The sequence below is a fragment of the Homo sapiens genome, chromosome 2 (genome assembly GCF_000001405.40).
Source record: "Homo sapiens chromosome 2, GRCh38.p14 Primary Assembly".
In the NCBI taxonomy this organism is placed as follows: domain Eukaryota; kingdom Metazoa; phylum Chordata; class Mammalia; order Primates; family Hominidae; genus Homo; species Homo sapiens.
The window spans coordinates 139,410,688-139,432,940 of record NC_000002.12 but is presented as its reverse complement, the minus strand read 5'-3'; the positions used below and the strand labels follow the sequence as shown (position 1 = coordinate 139,432,940).

The 22,253-nt window shown below is 35.9% G+C and overlaps 1 long non-coding RNA gene across 2 annotated transcripts in view; it reads right to left on the bottom strand.

The window, feature by feature from the left end:
* Positions 1-21,984, bottom strand: part of LOC105373645 (uncharacterized) — a 66,805-nt gene extending 44,821 nt beyond the window's left edge. For both annotated transcript variants that reach the window (XR_923378.3, XR_007088681.1), the window contains exon 1: positions 21,370-21,984. This is a non-coding gene — a long non-coding RNA (uncharacterized LOC105373645). The remainder of the gene's footprint in view (positions 1-21,369) is intronic.
* Positions 21,985-22,253: the final 269 nt, after the last annotated feature.

Genomic DNA, 22,253 nt, shown 5'->3' with positions numbered 1-22,253 from the left:
CTGACACCAAGGAACATCCAAACATAACTATGGGATGATTGATTAGTGATGCTTTTGAAGAAAGATCTTGATCAAAAGGAGGAAATGTGAAAGTTATCAGAATCAAAGTGAAGTTACTTGTATGTGTGTGTGTGTTAGGGGGTGGGGGTTGGGGAGTTCCTGTCGAATAGAGCCAAAAAAGATCGTGAAGAGAATTCTCATACATAAACGACGGATTTAAAAAAAAGATCACAAAAGAATTATCATAAAAGACTGCAAAACCCACAACCTTGCACACAGACCATACCAATCTTACACAAAAATACTTTCTCTTTTGCAAGGACATCTCAGCCACTGCCTGTCCAACCTTTGACTACTGTGACCCTCCTTATTGATCTTTGTACCCAAGGATAATTAGGTAATCCTCCTCCTCTTTTTCCTTAAAGACCTTTGTTTCTATTTTCCTCCCTGAATATTCAGTTTACTATGACATATGTATTCCATTGCAGTGATCTATTCCCTGATACCCATTATTTTCTTTTAGACAGCCTCCTTCTATTATTTACGTTGACAGCACAAAGCTAAATTCCTAGGATTTTTTAAGCTAAATTTTTCTCTAAAATTTCACACTGCATTATTTATAAAGAGTCATGCTCTGCTAAAATTTATTCCATAACCTATTTCTTTTCATAACTGCTCTTTAGACTTTCATGGTTAAAGAGAATCTGTGTGAGTCTCTGTGTGTGCACACGTGTGTGTGCACACATGCGTATAAAATTCTGAGAATTGGCAGGGCATGGTGGCTCATGCCTGTAATCCCAGCACCTTGGGAGGCCGAGGTGGGTGGATTACCTGAGGTCAGGAGTTCGAGATCAGCCTGGCCAACATGTCGAAACCCCCTCTCTACTAAAAATACAAAAATCAGCCAGGTGTGGTGGCACGTGCTTCCTGTAATCCCAGCTACTCAGGAGGCTGATGGGAGAGAATTGCTTGAACTTGGGAGGCGAAGGTTGCAGTGAGCCAAGATCGCACCACTGCACTCCAGCCTGGGCAACAAAGTGAGACTCTGTCTCAAAAAAAAAAAAAAAAAGTTCTGAGAATTTGAGAATTGGCCGGGTGCAGTGGCTCACACCTGTAATCCCAGAACTTTGGGAGGTCGAGGCAGGCAGATCGTCTCAGGTCAGGAGTTCCAGACTAGCCTGGACAACATGATGAAACCCCGTTTCTACTAAAAATACAAAAAATTAGCCAGGCATGGTGGTGTGTGCCTGTAATCCCCGCTACTTGGGAGGCTTGAACCTGGGAGACAGAGGTTGCAGTGAGCCGAAATAGAGCCATTGCACTGCAGCCTGGGCAACAAGAGCAAAACTCTGTCTCAAAACAAACAAACAAAATATTCTGATAATTTTGCAACTATTTTATTTATATTGTAAATGCATACATATTTCACTAATCATTTGAGAAGCATGTTTGTTTTATGGGTCCTTTATTAAAAAACATTTTTTCATAGTTAAATATAGCATCTAAATTTGTAACAGATGTATCCATGCCCCATTAGAAATGCAAAAATGTGACCAAACATATTCAATTTTAGCAATTCAAGGATGGATAAGTATGAGAAAACAAACATTTATCATCAAGTTAGCAAATAATGGGGAGAAATTATGAATATATAGTAGACACAAAAATATTGATAATATACAGCACACATTTTTTATAAAATTACCAAGATACAATTGGACTAAATGAATTTCTGAATATTATGAAACATAATTATCTAAGATCAATATCAAACATCATATTGCTTCTCGAGTATAAAGACATTTTTAATAAGGCCAGAACAAGACAGTGGTATCTGTTCCAACATTATTAAATATTCTACCTAGTGTAGAGAAATAAATATAAGCAGAACCATACATGTATGATCATTTAATATATGATAATGGTGACTCAACCAACTTGGAAAATACGAGTTTTTCAATAAAGGAATTTATACAATTGTTTATTTGTAAATATATGTCAATGTGTGTTTTGTGTGTGTATATAGTTAAACCTCTTCCTAATTTCAAACATGAATATGAATTCCAAATGGAATTTAATACGCGAATTAAAAAGATATGGCTGAGTACAGTGGCTCACGCCTATAATCTCAGCACTTTGGGAGGCCAAGGTGGGTGGATCACGAAGTCAGGAGATTGAGACCACCCTGGCCAACATGGTGAAACCTTGTTTCTATTAAAAATACAAAAATTAGCTGGGCATGGTGGTGCATGCCTGTAGTCCTAGCTACTTGGGAGGCTGAGGCAGGAGAATTGCTTGAAACCTGGGAGGCAGAGGTTACAGTGAACCGAGATCACACCACTGCACTCCAGCCTGGTGACAGACTCTGTCTAAAAAAAAAAAAAAAAAAAAAGATATTAATCAGAAGAAAATGAATGACTTCAAAGACTTCAAAATATTCTCACAGTGAGGAAGACATGCCTGAGCAAAACCCCAAATCAAGGAGACATTTACTATGACTAGATATATTTCTAATAACCTATATGACAAAATTTTCTGTATACAAAATTTACAAACTGTAGTCAGGGACACAATATTTGAAATACATATACTAGAAAACTTCTCTATCTATAGTTACATAGTACCCTTATATATCAATGAGGAAATGGCAATCATCACTTAGAAAATATAGTAAAGGCTATGAAGGGATATTTTACAAAAAAAGAATTTCAAACGGCCAATAAAAACATGAAACTCTCCAACAGTTCAGTAAATGTAAATTAAACATTTTGAGAAACAATTTTATACCACTAAGGGTTAAAATAATTTTTAAAAATGTTATCTAGTGTAATGACAGATAGGAAATAGTCATTCTCCTACATGATTACAGGAACTACAAACTGATGTAAAGTATTTGGAAGTTAACCTAGCAGTGTCCTCTAAAATGTGCACACACTTTCAGCCGATAATCCACAATAAAGGAGGAATGAATGTTGAGTTCAAATAGCATTGCAGAAATAAGTAGACTTACTTGACAGAGAAATAGCAGCTTATATCAAAAATGGCACTATGAGTACAAGAATTCTGAAAATACACATAGGCCAATTTAACACCAGCTGAAAACAATAACTGCTGATCCTTTATATATTTTGGCTCAAGAACATATGGAATGGTTTGCACAACCTTAGTGGAAAAAAAAATGATAGATTAGCATTATAGGGGGAGGAGTGAACAGGTGCCAAGCAAGGGGAGCTTAGACACCAAGTTACAGTGGTTATAATATAAACAGGATATAAAATCTTAGTTTGGAAATGGAAGTGGGCAACAATGTGAAACCACCCAAAATGTAGATACTGGTTAGAAATCAGAATAAAATTAGAAGACGCAACAATGACAAGAAGGCTGATAACAATAACAACAACAAAAAAAGGAGGTTTTAGTTTTATATAAACCCTAATATTTGTGCTCAAGAACATTTGGATTATTACATACTCATCTCCTTCATCACTGTTCTATGTAAATTAATATCTGAGAACAGATTCCTATTACTTCGTTTATTCTAACCACAGGTATCATCGTTTTGACCTGAGTCCTGAAGAGGTAGAATGTTCTCTCTTGGCAATGCCTGGGAGATGAATTGAGATAACTTGGTGGCCTGATGGAGGTGGGTGGGGGAGGGGGCACAAACATAGAGCTAAAAACAGCAATATGTCTCAAAAGTTGACAGTAGTCTTCAGACTGTGAGGTATCTGGAAATGTGGAGTTGTAAAGAAAGATATTTACATTTTATTGTATAAAGTTTATTTAAAAGGGATGTTTTCATTAATTTTTGCTTGCTTTAGACTTTCAGATTTTGAAAGGTTAGCCAGGATATCTAGTAGATTGCAGAAAAAAATCTGATGTATTTTTACAGTAAAATATAAGTCATTGAATGCATTTCATGTTTTTGACCTGCTGCTTCAAACTATACCACCACACTAATTTGAAATAAACCGTACTCCAACGTCTTTCTGTTCCTAGGAGTATTTTTGTGAAGAGGCATTAAAACAACTACTTAGATGAGTGCTAATAACATGAGAAACATTGACATACATTACATATATTGATTATTACCTTCCCAATTACAGAATTCCAAAATGTGCAACAGAGTCTGTTTTACCCTTACAAACTTATTCATCTTTCTTTAAACATTACATTTGACAACACTTACCATCTCCTTTGATGCTTTCTTGATCAAACATTAGTCAGACTCCTGAACCTTGTTTTGGGCCCACCCAAGGGCCTCCTTGAAAAACTCACAATGACTTTTATCTTTTACTTGTATTAATTCTGAAGTCTCTGACTCCCTCTACCCTACAAAAGTTGCCTTTCCACTGCTCTCTTCCACAACCCATTTGTTTTATTCAGACCCATTTCCTCATGCACATTAATTAATTCTTGCTGCTGTAGCTTTGTTACTATGCTGATTTGCTGCTGGTCTCTTCTCTCTTCTCTCTTCTCCCATTGACTCAGAAAGTTTGACCTATTTAAAGGCCAAATTAAAGTCATCCACCTTCTTACAGCAATTTCATCAAACTACTCATCTTATAAAATTATATGGTACTTCAAAACAATAATATCCCCTATGTTACCCATTCCTGCATTGCTATAAAGAAAAACCTGAAACTAGGTAATTCATAAAGAAAAGAGGTGTTTGGCTCACAGTTCTATAGGCTGTACAAGCATGGTGCCAGCATCTGTTCAGCTTCTGGGGAGGCCGCAGGGAGCTTTTACTCATGGTAGAAGGTGAAGCAGGAGCAGATATGTCACATGGCAAAAGCAGGAGCAAGACAGAGAGAGGAAGGAGGTACCATAAAGTTTTAAACAACCAGATTTCAGATTTCACGAGAACTCATTCACTCACTATGGCAAAGATAGTACAAAGAGGATGGCTCTAAACTGTGCATGAGAAATCCACCCCCATACTCCAATCACCTTCCGTCAGGCCCCATCTCCAACACCGGGGATTATAATTCAATGTGAAATTTAAAGGGGACCACATCCAAACTATGTCATCCCCTAATTAGCATACATTTACCTTTAAAAATATTTTCATTTATAATTATTGCTTTCATTACATTTCCTAAGGTAGATACAATGGTTAGAATTTCTTCATAAGAGTTATCATTTCCTTCATGTCCTCAAGTACCCTTCAACATTCCTCATGTCACTCTTACCAAAACCTTTATTACTGAAGAGTTAAGATTTTAGCCAAATGTGCACTTTAAAGGCAACAATATCTACAATGGGAATTTCACTGTTAGAGATATTTTTATAATATTTCTCTGGATTGATCATCACCTTTCATAATTCATATTGGTTGATTAAAAAATGCATTGCTTGAAAACAAAAAAAAATCACAAACGTCAAATAACAGATGTTAACCATGTACAGGTGGCTGAATAGCTCATGGGATGGCTGATTGGATTTGAGACTTTTCACCTTGTGGTAATCAGTCAGAATTTGGCCCATGGTTGACAGGTCATCCTACAGCTGTTAACGGGATACCAGGTGTGATAGGCTCTCATTACCAGCATGGTGGGCAGGTGTTTACATCACAGTGAGCACCCCTGTGGCTACTTCCAGGAGCAGCAGAGGCCCTGGTTCCCGGAAGGCATAGCTACCTGTCAAGAGTAATGTGGGCTGCTATGCATAATGGCTGCAGTGTTCCTGAATTATACCGGAAATACCATTAAGCAAGCAGTGACACCTCACTGTGACTTACTAAGATGTGATAAATGGCACATTTAGAAATAATTTGGTAAATTTTAAAATACCAAAATCAGCTCCAATTTAAGCTCATCATTATCTCTAAATGAAAGGGCTTTTTCTAGAAGACTAATTCAGTATTTACTTGAATCATTTTTAATACTTAAAATGTGCTGTTTAATTAATTTTGTCCCCTCCAAAAATCGTGTTAAAGTTGAATTTCTAATGTGTAAGTATTGAGAGGTGGAGCCCTTAAGAGGTGACTGGGGCATGATGACTTTGCTCTCCTGAATGGATTAATTCATTCATAGATTAATAGATTAATGAATCAGTGGGTTATCCCGGGATTGGAACTGGTGGCTTTATAAGAGGAAGAGAGATTTGAGAAAGCTCGCACAGCCCCCTCATCCTGTGGTGCCCTGTGCCACCTTAAGATGCTAAGAGTCCTCACCAGCAAGAAGGCTCTCACCAGATGTTCCCTCTTGACCTTGATTTCCCAAGCCTCCAGAATTACATGAAATACGTTTTTCTTCTTTATCCATTGCTTAGTTTCAGGTATTCTGTCATAAGTAACAGAAAATTGACAAAGACAGAGTGTCACTTGGAAACATTTTTTAAACTTGACCCCATGAAGCAGGCAGAGCCCAGGTGGTAAACTCCTTCATTAACCACTAAGGTTTCTCAAGAAAGCCTATTAAAATTCAGTCTTTCGCCAATAGAAGCCACCTAATAAATGTCAATTAAATTAATGCATGACTATATTCGATTCTTTTTTCAAATAAAGGGATTGGGCATAACAATGTCTAATATACTTTTGTGATCTCAAATGCTATCTATAAATGATAAAAGAAATAATCTTCCTCTAGGATATAACCAAGATTGTGTACAATAATCTGTGCTTATTCTAAAATTAGTTTCTCAAAGAGGAAGATAGTGATGATTTTTGTTTTCTGCCCTCAGAACTCTTTTCTGCCACAGACCACTTTATAGTCATCTGAGTTACAAATACTTCAGGCTAAGGTTTTTAAATGTGGCTGCTTCCATTGCAATTCTCTCCTTAACCAGTAAAATTTAAATAGCAGCAGGGGCTACCCATAGAGTAAGTGATGGGCTGAGGGTATGTTGGTAGCAAAGAAGAGGACAACATGTGTGTAATTGGATATTTCTGGTTGCCTGACAATTAACATATATTATATACAAGGTCAAAGAGGCATTGAGTAACCAGATTCTCTACAGAAAGCTTGATAGTACCTGCTGATAATTTCCTCAATGCTTGTTAATAAGCTGTCTACGTACTGGTGGGTAGGGAGAAGAATCAAGAAGAACTTGTTGACTTTGTACATCCTCAACCTCAGACGATGTCATCAGATAATCAGTAAGACGAACAAGACCAGATCTGTTACTTTATGGCTTAATATTGGCTCACCTGCAGAAAGCTCCAGATTCTCCAAGGTTCTAATGTCAAAATGGTACATAGTGAGAGAATTGTTGTGTGAACCTGAAGTGGGTATCCTAGGGTAAGTTTCACTCGTACATAGACTCTTACGTCTGCTTCCTTCATAGAGTGTACTGAAGAAGCCTATTGGAAAAGGCTACATCAATTGAACAATAAGGGACCAAGGTATTATATGTCTGGGAGAAAAAAATAATCAGCAATTCTCCACAGCACCCAAGACTTGTGGTGCCCTTGAAGAAAAAAGAACTTCGGCAGTTCAATGACTCTACTATCAGAAAATATACTTAACAGAGACATAAGAAACTAGGGATTTCTCCACATTACCAAAATGTAGCCCAGTATAGGAGACCTTTTTTTCCATCTTTCTCTCCCATCCCAGAGGAGCTAGAACTAGAGGTTGGGAAGTATAACCAAATTGCTTCTCCTACTGATGGGACTTAGGCTATAGACAAGTAAAGGTGCAGAATCTATCTTGAATATCATTATGGATCCAGGAAAAAGAGATTTTTTTTCCTGCTGCTGGTTTGAAGGCAGTAGTCATTGGAAAAATTTTACAAAAATTATATTTGTAGCTTGTTGGATACCAGTCATTCAGTAAACCAGTGCACATGTACGGGAAAGAGAGAGTGGTATTAGGTAAACACTGAGAGTGTCAACCTAAAGTAATCAAAAGGGTTAGAATCCAATTTAAAGGGAGTTTATTCAAGTGAAAACTGTGAGGATGAACCACCCTGAAGAGCAACTCAAAGGAATGGAGCCAGTGATCTAAAGTAGGAAAGTTAAGGCTTCATTTATAGAGGCAGAGACAAGAGTTTTTAGCAGGATGACAACATTTTTAAAAAATATTTTAAGTTCTGGGACACATGTGCAGAACGGGCAGGTTTGTTACATAGCTATACACGTGCCATGGTGGCTTGCTGTACCCATCAACCCGTCATCTACGTTGGGTATTTCTTCTAATGCTATCCCTCCCCTAGTCCCCCACCCACCGACAGGCTCCAGTGTGTGATATTCCCCTCCCTGTGTCCATGTGTTCTCATTGTTCAACTCCCACTTATGAGTAAGAACTTGTGGTGTTTGGTTTTCTGTTCCTGTGTTAGTTTGCTGAGAATGATGGTTTCCAGCTTCATTTATGTCCCTGCAAAGGACATAAACTCATCACTTTTTATGGCTGCATAGTATTCCATGGTGTATACGTGCCACATTTTCTTTATCCAGACATTTTTTATACAAGACTGACAAGTAGTTACAGCAATTTGATTCGTTATAGGCAGCGTTTCCTTTTGGAAAGGGTACATTTAACACCTTTTACAGGGGGTCTAATAGCCATGGGTTTTCTGTCATCTGGTCTAAGCAAAGCAGGACAACAAAGGGGAAGTTAATCTATAACAAGAATCATTAATTAAAAAGGCAGGAGGTTTTTGTCCCTGATGTCATTTAATTCTCTCTAGTCATTGTACAGAGCAAGAAAAATAAGAAAGCTAGTTAATCTATAATATGAGAAACAGAAATTGTAACCATATATGACTCAGATCATAGACACATCTCCCTTAAGACATAAAGTATTTGGGGAGTTCCAACAGCTTTTAACTTGCATTTATTTTCATATGGGAAAAAGGGAAAAAGAAAAGAAAAAAAATCTCAGAATTATGGACCAGCAGCATTTTAGAATAAGCACAGATTATTATACATAATCTTGGTTATATACTAGAGGAAGATTATTTCTTTTATCATTTATAGATCACCTGGAAACTTCTCAGAAATGCAAAATCTTGGGCACTTCTACACAACTACAACAGAGTTTCTCAAAATTTATCATACATAGAACTATGTAGAGAATTTGATAAAACAGATTCCTGGACCCATCTCAGAACCTCTGAATCAGTTGTTCTAGGGTGGATCCAGAGATTCTGTATTTCCAATATGCTCCCAAGTAATGTTTTTGTTACTCATCTATAGATCACATTTTAGGTCTGTAAGACAGGAAGAAGCTAAATACTAGTAATTATCTACTTAATAGACTTTCAAAAGAATTAAATATTATCTAAACAAGAGGAAAGTAGAGAGGTATTTTCCTTTACCTACTTCCAACCATTATATCCACTTTACTATACAACAAAAGGCTAATTTTCTTGCTTATTTTCCAGAAATAAATAATAGTTACTCATTAATACATCATGTAATAATTAAGGAGCTGGAGAAAGAATATCTAGCCAAATGTGAAAACAAAATCCAAACAAACCCAAGAAGATAACAATACATATATCTATACTTAATTTCGTTCATTTTTCTATTCTCCTATTGGTCTTTGTGTGTGTGTGTGTGTTATACATTTACCCCAGCATTTCTTGTGGCAAGCTTTCATTATTTTACTGCCTTAATAAGTCTCTGAGTGTATTCTCTTAACATCTCACCTTTCTCTTTCACGAGATCTAAAGTAAAAAAAATGTAACTGAGTAACATCTAATAGAACTGAAAAACTACATAAAATAAGCTGCATATTTTGCAAAAATCCCAGGCCTATTTATGAAAATGTAAAACTTGCAAACTTTTTTCATAAGGCTAGAAAATAAAAACACATGAGAAGTAATCATACCCTGCCTATGTTATGAAAATCTAGCACCCACAAAGAAAGCAACTGCTGTTTTCTTTTTGTGTGAAGAAATGTTCAAAGAGACCCTTTGATGAGAAATTGGGTGAGGTATCTGAGATGAAAGATAAGACAGAAAATTGTGCTCAGTCTACCCTCACCCCAACAGTCTTATCTGAGATTCTCTCTAGAGATCAGCTAATGTTTTCTCTTTTCTCAGCATGGAAGTGACAGGAGAAGCTGAAGGCTGGCGAGGAATCATAAAAGTGAGTTTCAACAGCTTCTTCTCCCCATAGCAAACATTACCATTAACAATAGCTGAGGGTTTCACCACTCTGCGATGTGATCTCTTTGAAATAAAGTTTACAGATAAACATACTGATAGACTACGTAAACCAATAATTAGATTATATTCCAAACAGCACATGCCTTCGGTCTACGGGATGGAAATTAGGAGAACAAATCTAAGTAGAAAATACTAACATTTATTTTTCACATGGAGCTAAATGACCACCTAGATTTTTGACAAAGGAGCACCTCTGTTTTCTTTAAAGGATAAAAATTAAGACCTATTTCTATTAGAGCTAATATTTGTATTTTCCTGTGACACTGTTCTTGTGCTTAAACCTGGAGGGTATTCCATAAATGTTTGCTGATTCTACTTGATATCACTGCTCCTTTGCCTCCTTCACTTACAAAATCATTTATCCCCGGATAGGAAGATGTCAGACAGGTCTCCAATTATAGCATTCTCTGCCTATTTAGATACCAAACTAAATACTAAGCTAAAACCCAAGATTCAAGCCCCTCAGAGTAAAGCATCAACAAAAAGTATTAGGTTGGTGAAAAAGTAATTGCAGTTTTTGCCATTAAAAATTAATGGACGACAAAAACTGCAATTACTTTTGCACAAACGTATAGTTTTTTTTATACTATTGTTACAGGTTTCAAATATTTTCTAGTATTTTCTATTGAGGTTTCTGCCATTAAAAGTAATGGCAAAAAAAAATTGGAATTTAAGAAAAGAAATTAAAAGTAATGGCAACTGGAATTTAAGGAAAGAAATGGCAAAAACACAATTACTTTTGCACCATCCTATAGTTGAAAATTTGTTCACATGGAAATCTTATAGCTATTTTTACAGCACAAGGAGATGATGTTTTTTGTCTCACTAAGGCTACTGGGAACAGCCTTCATATGTGTTTCATTATATGTGATTAGCTTTAAAATGAATGCCTTGTATCTTTACTAATAGGTTTGCATTTCCTTATCCCAATTTTATTTAAACTAGAGTCCTATTCGAAAGGTCTATTAACGGTAAAGCAATTTTATTTTCTATGAGATGCATATTGCTATTTTTCACTCCTGGTGCTTTTAAGAGGGGGCACACATTGACTTGACTCTATTATATCATTAAAAAAATAAAGCAAGCATCCCTTTGAAGCAGGCTAAGGGTTTGGGAAAGAAAACAACTTACTTTCAGGACTTTCATTTTGGGTAAAGCTACCATCATCTCTTGGATAGTCTACTGTAATAGTGTCCTACAGAAATAATCTCCTTATTCCATGTTGCTCATATTCAATCTATTCTCCAACAGCAGTCAGAATAATTTGCTAAAAATACAAGTAAGATCCCACCACTCTCATGCTTTTAAAGCTCTTTGGCTTCTTTTACTCTTATTATGATCTAAATCTCTTATCATGGTCAACATCATCTAGCCTTTCCTATTTCTAAGGTCTCTACCACTATCCTCTCCATTTATTCTGCTTCAATCCCACTGGCCTTTATGGTTTTTGTTTTGTTTTGTTTTTGAGCATGTTGATTACAGTGTATCCTCAAGGCCTTTGTTCTCATTATTTCTAGAACCTAGAATGCTCTTCTACAGTTATTTACATGGCTCTTCCCCCTACACACACTATAGTCAGATCTCTGTTTAAATATTCTCTTGCCAGAGAGGCCCTATTTACTACTACAATTAAAATAGCCCCTGCAACTCTAGACCTTCACACTGATCTACTATTTCATGGTGAATATCTGAATATATATATATATATATATATATATTCAGAAATTAAACCTATGTGTGTGTGTGTTTGTGTGTGTATGTGTGTGTATGCATATACATTTTTGTCTTTCTCTGCCATTGTACTATATACTCCAGGGTATATTCTGGGTTTGCTCAGTTGATCCACAGCATCTGGAACAATACATGGGTACATAGTAGGCACACAATCAGTGTTGAGTGAATAAAGGGGAGGAAGCAAGAAAACATATATATGTTCAACAAAGCCTGAGGAGTATTCTCAGAGCTCAAGAACTGAATAAAGATAGTGCATTCATTAATGGTATGGTCCACTCGTAGACATCCTTATTTTTACTTGTGACTAACTCATCACACTCCAATAAACTGACTTCCCCAAACACATCTTGAGAAATGGTACTGAATCACTACTAACTGTTATTTCCTAAAGAACACTTACAGCCAAAATGCCTAAATGGTCATTTGAGAGAGGTCCCACATTGTAATCAATGTCAGAAATGTTAATATTTAAAAAAGCAAATAGGGAATAATGTATGTGCACACATCTGATAAAGTTTAACTAATCAAAAAATAAATAAATAAATAACTCTTTTTCTTCTAGCCCTTCCAGTAATGGTAGAGTAGACTATATAAATTATATCATACTACTATTTCCTACTATAAATTTCCTAGTATTAATAAAAGCAATCATAAACTCAGGATAATATATGTAAAACAACAGTTGAAAGGAACTGAGGAACAAAAAGAAAAAGGTAAAATTAGAGCCACTATGACTATTGAATAAGAAGATCATACTCAGATTGTCTAAAGAAAATTAGAGTCATAGCCATGTAGAAGATAGAGATCAAGAAGAAAGCTGCAGTCCTATTGAACTAGGCAGTCAGATGTTGAAGTTTAGTCCTGAGTAAGAATCTGGAATTTAAGGAAAGAAATTCTGGACAAAGAAGAGAACATAAAGCGTGAGTATAAACTGTCACATAAGCTTGTACGTAAATTTGTGGCTGACATCTGAATTGTTCATACATAGGATGAGACTCCATACAGTTCATGAGAAACAACAGCTCTTAAGGAAGAAAGATCTTAGCACAGATTTCAATTGCTGCTGGCAAGAAAGAGTTTGATGTTCATTTTAGGCCAAATTATAGGGCCCTAGTAGCCATCTCAGGCTTTCCACTGAATTCCCAGAAGGGTTATGCCTTATAATTAAAACCCGTATCTCAGAACTAAGGGTATCTCTCTAGGATTAACAGACAAAAGAGAAATAGATTGACCTATGTAAAGTAAAAGTTAAAGCTAACCCTCAGTAAAATCAAGATACTGTACTAATAACAGGCTGTTCCAAAAAAAAAAAAAATCTTTACAACTTAGAGGCAGATAACAAAATTCAGTCTCTTCAACTTTAAAAAGTGAACATAAACGAATAAGCGCTAGAAATAAAAATACAAGGGAAAATGTAATAACTAATCGTATACAGAACAGTATTCAATAGAAGCAGGTAAATGACACAGATTTTGGAATTAGTAGAAAATAACTTTAACATAACTCTATTACTTCTGCTTCTGACTATGGTGAAATAACTGGGAGTGTTCTTCCCTTACTGCTGTAACCATCGAAAAAACTAGGCAAAATATTTAGACAACTTTTTTTTTCAGATTGAACAACAATCATTGTAGAATTGTGATCCCTAAGAAGAAGAGGAAAAGGAGAAGAGATCTATCTACAATTATCCTGGTTTCCTGCCTAAAGATAACATTTTAGAGCTCAGTGCACAGTAAGACAAGTAAAGCATTATTTTACTTTATTAAGTTATTATTAATTTAGGAGTGAGATATCACAGTTGAGGGAGGATAAGAAAGTTGGAAATTCAGAGTAATGAAGATGAGGGTGCTAAACCGAGAAAGAGGTCCAGAAAGTTGGTCAAGATTCCATTTTTTATGCTAAATTCTATGCCATGCATATGTAAGATGAAACTTCATGTGGCCAAGAAAAAAAATGACTAGGAAGCAGTAAGCTAAATGATTTTCAAAGCTCGTATTAGGCTACCAGAAACTGAGTTCCAGTCCATCAAAATGGACATTCTTTGTTTAACATGAAGGACACTAAATAAAATCCTCAGGAAAAGCATGACTTGGTAGTAGTGCTGATCTAGCTCTGCATCAAAAGCTTTTATAGCCCCACCATAACTAAATGAAAAAGAAAACTTGGAAAGATCAAACCGATTGCCAAATAATTTAATCACCTGTCAGAAGAAGGTCTAATATTTTTCTAAAAGATAACAAAACCAATCATTCCACCATGTAATATTCACAGTATTCAATGTTAAGTCAAACATTCCTAGTAATGTAAAAAGGAAAATGTGACCCTAACCAAAAGCAAGTCAGTTCATAGAAATAGATGCAGACACGACAGACATAGAATTAACAGATAAAACCTTTTTTAAAAAGCTACTAAAAATATGTTTAAGGACTAAAGAATAGGAGAGAAATGAAACTTTTTTAAAAAGCATAAAATACAAAAAATACAATATACAGAATGTAACATTAATTTGATGGGATAATAGAAACTTTCAGAGAAAATATCAATAAACATAGACATATTAATAGAAATTTTAAAAACTGAAACATATAGAGAAAAAAGACTAACAGTTACCAGAGCCTTTATACTTATGTAGTGATATCAAAAAGTCTAACACATGTATAATCAGAATCCCAGAAAGAGAGGAAAAAGGATGAAAACGTATTAGAAGAAATAATACAAACAAAATTCTAGATTTAATGAAAAGTATAAACCTACTGATATGGTCTGGACATTTGTCCCCTCTAAATTGCATGTTCAAATGTGATCCCCAGTGTTGGAGGTGGTAAAACTGGAAAAGGGCCCTCACCAGAAGCAGATGCCAGCACCATGTTTCTTGTACAGTCTGCAGAACCATCAACCAAATAAATCCTGTTCTTTATAAATTACCATAGCCTCAAGTATTCCTTTATAGTCATGCAAAATGGACTAATACATTCACTAAGTCAAAACTCTCAGTGGACCGCAAGTAGAACAAATTCAAAGAAACCACATAAAAGCAGGTTGTAATCAAAGTTCTAAAAATATATAAATAATAATAAAGGAAAAATTTTAAAACACCTTGACAAAAAAGACATATAGAAAACTTTCTAGTGAGAAACGAAAAAAACAATCTTCAAAAATGAAGAGAAATAAGACTTAGACAAACAGCAGCTAAGATAATTTATGCTAAGCCAACCTATACTACATCAAATGATTAACAACAACAACAACAAACATTTCTAACACATAAGGAAAACTATGCCAGGTGAAAATTTGGATTTATACAAAAGAAAGAAGAGCACCAGACAAGAAAAATATATGTGAAATATAAAATATTTTTCATTTCAAAATATGTCTTAAAAGGTAATTGAGATCTCCTGGTTGTCCTCATGACAAGTAAATGCCATGCAAGTTGTCACTCCTGACCTTACAACACAAAGAAGCTGAACAAATTGAAAACCAAAATATTTTCATGGACTCATCAGAGGCCTGAAGTCACATGGAAAATATCACCATTAAATCTAAAGATATTCAGAGAAATATGGCAATCAAGATCTGCTTATCTGGAGCAGAAGCTACTGATGCCTCAAGTGGAAAGAAACTTAAATAGTGATTTTGACAAATTGCTAGAAGCTGAGTGCAGATTAGTCTAAGTGAGAAACCCCTGTTTGTTGCAGTCTTACGAAGGGCCCACATTTTTGCAGGCTTTCCCTCCAAAAACCCTACCAAGTTCTCAGAGTGAGGATCTGGAAGGACCCCCACATGGCTCTGGTAAGGGGAAGGAAACAGTAATCATGATGGAGCCTGGCAGCAATAACACAAGAAACTGGAAAGTGAAATTGTGACTATCTCAAGCCTTCAACACCTCTCTGTCAATAGCTGATAAACACAACCAGCTGAACATCATCAAGGATGTAGATAACCTAAACAGCACTGTCAATTAACTTGATCTAATTGACATTTATGGAATATTCCAGCTAGCAAAATTGGTAAAGAAAAATACACTCACACATAAATTGCCAGAAATGAAAGAGGTATATTTCAGAACATTAAAGATCATACAAACATTAAAGAGAAAAATAAGAAATCATTTTAAAACTATATGCCAATAAATCCAACAATTTAGATAGAATAGAAAATATCTTTGAACAATACAATTTACCAAAAAATAAAAGAAAAACAGAAAATCTGATTAATTCTATATCTACTTTGAAATACTGAATTCACACTTAAAACTTTTAAAAAATAAAATCCTAATGCCAACTCAGATGTTTTATTAGTACATTATGTTTAAGAGGAGAAAAAACCAACTTATGTAAACTATAAAAACACAGGAGGAGAGGACTAGTCCCAAAAAGTTTTATAAAGTCACATAACATTAATATCAAAACCTTGCAAGAATTTTATTTGATTTTTGAAATCACAGAAAGAAAATCATAGATCAATATTCCCTATAAATATAACAAATATGTCCTCAACAAAATAGTAGAAAACTAAATGTAGCAATATGTAAGAATAATAATATACCAAGGACGAGTTACCACAAGAATATAAAGTTGATCCAACATTCAAAAATCGCATTATGTAATATTATGTAATTAATAGAATATTGAAGAAAAGAATCAGTAGAATAAAGACGATTAAACTTGTGGTAATCTCCATAAACACAGAAAAGGGATTTCACAATGAATCAACACATTCTCTTTTAAAATGTTAGGTAGGAGTAGACGAGAACTTACTCAACCTGTTAAAGGGCAACTTAAAAAGAAATTCCAATTAAAATATTGAACTTAACGGCAAACTACTGAAGGCTTTCCAATATTGGGAACAAGGCAAGGATATTTCCTCTCACCATTTATTTTCAATAATGTGCTAGAAGCATTAGCCAATGAAATACAGTAAGAAAAACAAATAAGACAAAGTTTAGAAAGGCATAGATAAAACTACTCTGATTTACAAATGATGAGATGTTATACAGAAAAGCCTAAGGACTCTGTAAAAAATAAGAGAGTATTTTCACTGCCTTAGAGTAGAAACACTTTTCTTAGGTATGGTTAAAAATATGAAAAAAAAAATATGAAAACAATATCAGGAAAAAAACTGTATAAATTGAATTTCTACATAATTAAAATTTTATACTCATCAAAAAGTGCTGCTAAAAATAAGTTTGTAATATACAAGATCAATATTTTATAAATTAAGAATGAACAAAAATAGATCAATTGAACCAAACTGAGAGTCCAGAAATAGAACCATATACAGCCAGTCAATTTATTTTTAATGAAAGCAGCAAGGTAATTTAATGAGGAAAGAAAAGTCTTTTCAACAGAGTCCTGGAACAACTAGAAAGCTCTGTGAAAAATAATAAACCTCTTTGGCTATGTGGGCTCTTTATTGGTTTGATATGAACTATAAGATTATTTTTCCTAGTTCTGTGAAAATGATGGTGGTATTTTGGTGGGAATTGCATTGAATTTGTAGACTGCTTTTGGCAGTATGGTCATTTTTACAATATCGATTCTACCCATCCATGACCATGGGATGTGTTTCCATTTGTGTGTCATCTATGATTTCTTTCAGCGTGTTTTATAGTTTTTCTTGTAGAGGTCTGTCACTTCCTTGACTAGTTACATTCCTAAGGATTTTATTTTTATTTTTTGCAGCTTGTAAAAGGAGTTGAGTTCTTTATTTGATTCTCAACTTGCAAAAAGAACAAATCTGGAGGCATCACATTAACTGATTTCAAACTATACTATAAGGCCATAGTCAACAAAACAGCATGGTACTGGCATAAAAATAGGCTCATAGATCAATGGAACAGAATAGAGAACAGAGAAATAAAAGCCAAATACTTACAGCCAACTAATCTTTGACAAAGCAAACAAAAACATAAAGTGGGGAAAGGACACCCTATTCAACAAATGGGGCTGGGATAATTGGCTAGCCACATGTAGGAGAATGAAGCTGGATTCTCATTTCTCGCCTTATACAAAAATCAACTCAAGATGGATCAAGGATTTAAATCTAAGACATGAAACTATAACAATTTTTGAAGATAACATCAGAAAAATCCTTCTAGACATTGGTTTAGGCAAATATTTTATAACAAAGAACTCAAAAGTGGATGTAACAAAAACAAAGATACATAGGTGGGACTTAATTAAACTAAAGAGCTTGTGCACAGCAAAAGGAACAGTCAGCAGAGTAAACAGACAAACCTCAGAGTGGGAGAAAATCTTCACAATCTACACATCTGATAAAGGACGAATATCAAAAATCTACCCAAAACTCAAACAAATTAGCAAGAAAAAAAACAAACAATCCCATCTAAAAGTGGGCTAAGGACATGAATAGACAATTCTCAAAAGATGATATGCAAATGGACAACAGGTATCTGAAAAAATGCTCAACATCACTAATGATCAGGGAAATGCAAATCAAAACCACCATGCGCTACCACCACCTCACTCCTGCAAGAATGGCCATAATCAACAAATCAAAAGATAATAGATGTTGATGTGGATGCAGTGAACAGGGAACACTTCTACACTGCTGGAGGGAATGTAAACTACTACAACTACTACGGAAAACAGCTTGGAGATTCCTTAAAGAACTAAAAGTAGAACCACTATTTGATCCAGCAATCCCACTACTGGGTATCTACCCAGGGGAAAAGAAGTCATTATGTCAGAAAGATATTTGCACACTCATGTTTATAGCAGCACAATAAGCAATTGCAAAACTGTGGAAACAGCCCAAATACCCAACAATCAACTAGTGGATAAAGAAACTGTAGTATATATCTATGATGGAATACTACTCAGCCATAAAAAGGAACCAATTAATGGCATTCACAGTGACCTAGATGGGATTGGAGACTATTATTCTAAGTGAAAAAACTCAGGAATGGAAAACCAAACATCGTATATTCTCACTCATAAGTGGGAGCTAAGCTATGAGGATGCAAAGGGATAAGAATGATGCAATAAACTTTGGGGACTCTGGGGGAAAGTGTGGGAAGGGGGGTGAGGGATAAAATACTACAAATTGGGTGCAGCACATACTGCTCAGGTGATGGGTGCACCAAAATCTCACAAATCACCACTAAAGAACATAATTTTGTAACCAAATAAAAAATGAAAAAATAATAATAATAAACCTCAATCTTTACATCAAATGATGAACAACATTTCATTAATTATATCATACACCTAAACATTTAAGCTAAAACTATAAAAAAGTCAACATAAAAAATAGAGAACGTATTTTTATACTGAAGTGATAAATATTTCTTAGGACTCAAACAGCATTAGGCCGGGTGGGGTGGTTCACACTGTAATCCCAGCATTTTGGGAAGCCAAGGCAGGTGGACCACGAGGTCAGCAGTTTGAGACAAGCCTGGCCAATATGGTGAAACCCTGTCTCTACTAAAAATACAAAAATTAGCCCGGCGTGGTGGCGCACACCTGTAGTCCCAGCTACTTCGGAGGCTAAGGAAGAAGAATCACTTGAACCCGGGAGGCGGAGGTTGCAGTTAGCCGATATTGAGCCACTGCACTCCAGCCTGGGTGACAGAGTGAGACTCCATCTCAAAAAAAAAAAAAAAAAAAGAAAAAAAAAAGAAAAGAAAAGAAAACTCAAACAGAATTAACCATAAAAAGTAAGGACTAATTAAACTACAACAATATTAAAATGTTCTGCTCATTAAAATATGTTATTTAGAAAATAAGGCCAGATGCAGTGTCTCACACCTGTAATCCTAGCACTTTGGGAGGGTGAGGAAGGCAGATCACCTGAGGTTGGGAGTTGGAGACCTGCCTGACCAACATGGAGAAACCCCGTCTCTACTAAAACTACAAAATTAGCCAAGCTTGGTGGCACATGCCTGTAATCCCAACTACTCAGGAGGCTGAGGCAGGAGAATCGCTTGAACCCGGGAGGCAGAGGTTGCAGTGAGCCCAGATCGTGCCATTGCACTCCAGCCTGGGGAACAAGAGTGAAACTCCGTCTCAAAAAAGAAAAAGAAAAGAAAAATAAGAGTTACAAGTTAGAGAAAATATTTGCATACATATATCATAAAAAAACTAGTGTATGGAATAAATGGGAACTTCAATTCAATAATAAAAGGCAAACAGCATAATAAAAATGATAATTAAATTGGACACTTTACCAAAGAAAATTTATGGATTTTTGGAAAGTACTAAGAATGCAGTCAAAATTAATACTCGTTAGGTAAATACAAACTGCAAATTAAAACCACGGTGAGATATGAGTATATATCCATTAGAATGACCAAAATTAAATGGACTGAGCATTTCAAATTTTTATGAGATGCAATTTAATTGTAACTATCACACATTGATAGTACCAATGTGTATTAATTATTTTTTTCTTGCTGCTGTAAAATAAAAATACTTCTTAGGGGCTTATAACAATACAAATTTACTGTCATGCAATTTTCGAGGTTACAGGTCTGAAGTCTAAAACCAAGGTATCAGCAGTGCTATCTTTCTTCTGGAGGCTTAGGACATAATCAATTTCTCTGACTTCCCTAGGTTCTAAAAGCCGCCTGCATTCTTCGGCTTATGGCTCCTTCTTCCATCTTTAAAGTGTATTATTCCAGCCTTTTCTCCCATCATCATATCTCCTCTCTCTGATTTTGACTTTCCTGCCTCCTTCTTATAAGGAATTACTTGTAATTAAATTAGGCCCACAAGGATAACCCAGGATAATCCCCCATCTCAAGATTCTTAATTTAATCACATCTGCAAAATCCCTTTTGTCATGTAAGGTAACATTTTCAAATTCTGGGGATTAGGATATCTTTAGAGGACCATGATTCCCTCTACCATAGATTGTAAAATGTTATCTTAGGCTGTCTCATTAACTTAAGCAACTACCTCCCTTATAATTCAGGAATTCCACTCCTATTTGGTCAAGAAAAATAAAAGCATATGTGTATCAAAGCTTTGTCCAAGAATGTTCATAAAATCTTTATAATAGGCCCAAACTGCAAACAACATAAATGTCTAACAACAAATGAGCGTAAAAATTGATTGTGATAAATTCATAATAAAACCCACTACAGGTTGAACATCTCTAATCTGAAAATCTATTCTAAAATTCAAAACTGTTTGAGCGCTGACATGATGCCACAAGTGGAAAACTCCACATCTGACCTCGTGATGAGTCACAGTCAAAACTTTAATGCAAAACATTATTTTAAAATATTGCATAAAATTACATTCAAACTATGCGTATAAGATGTGTATGAAACAAAAACAAATTTTGTGTTTAGACTTGGGTCCCATCCCCAAGATTTCTCATTATGTATATGCAAATATTAAAAAAAAAACATTTTGAGTCCCAAGCATTTAGGATAAGGAATACTCAATCTGTATTCAGAAATAAAATAAAATGAACTAATGATACACAAACAACATGAATGAATCTTAAAAACAGAAACAAAAATATTATGCAGAATAAAAGAAGCCTTACCTGAAAACATCACATTCTGGTTGATTTCATTTACATGAATTTCTAGAAGTAGTAATTTAACACAATATGATAGAAATTCCAGTTGTGGTTGCCTCAGATGGCGGGGGTGGGAGGAAGACACGGAGAGGAAGTGACTGCAAAGAGGCACAGGAGAACTTCCTGAGGTTATGAAGATTTCCTGTATCTGGTCTAGCATAGTGGTTATGTGTCCGGAATTGGTGGGTTCTTGGTCTCACTGACTTCAAGAATGAAGCCGCGGACCCTCCCAGTGAGTGTTACAGCTCTTAAGGTGGCGCGTCTGGAGTTTGTTCCTTCTGATGTTCGGATGTGTTTGGAGTTTCTTCCTTCTGGTGGGTTCGTGGTCTCCCTGGCTCAGGAGTGAAGCTGCAGACCTTTGCCGGGTTACAGCTCTTAAGGCGGCGCCTCTGGAGTTGTTCGTTCCTCCTGGTGGGCTCGTGGTCTCGCTGGCTCAGGAGTGAAGCTGCAGGCCTTCCCGGTGAGTGTTACAGCTCATAAAGGCAGTGTGGACCCAAAGTGTGAGCAGTAGCAAGATTTATTGCAAAGAGCGAAGGAACAAAGCTTCCACAGTGCGTAAGGAGACCCGAGCCGGTTGCCACTGCTAGCTCGGGCAGCCTGCTTTTATATCTGGCCCCATCCACATCCTGCTGATTGGTAGAGCCGAGTGGTCTGTTTTGACAGGGCGCTGATTGGTGCGTTTACAATCCCTGAGCTAGACACAAAGGTTCTCCACATCCCCACCAGACTCAGGAGCCCAGCTGGCTTCACCCAGTGGATCCCGCACCGGGGCTGCAGGTGGAGCCGCCTGCAAGTCCCGGTGCCTTGCGCCCGCACTCCTCAGCCCTTGGGTGGTCGATGGGACTGGG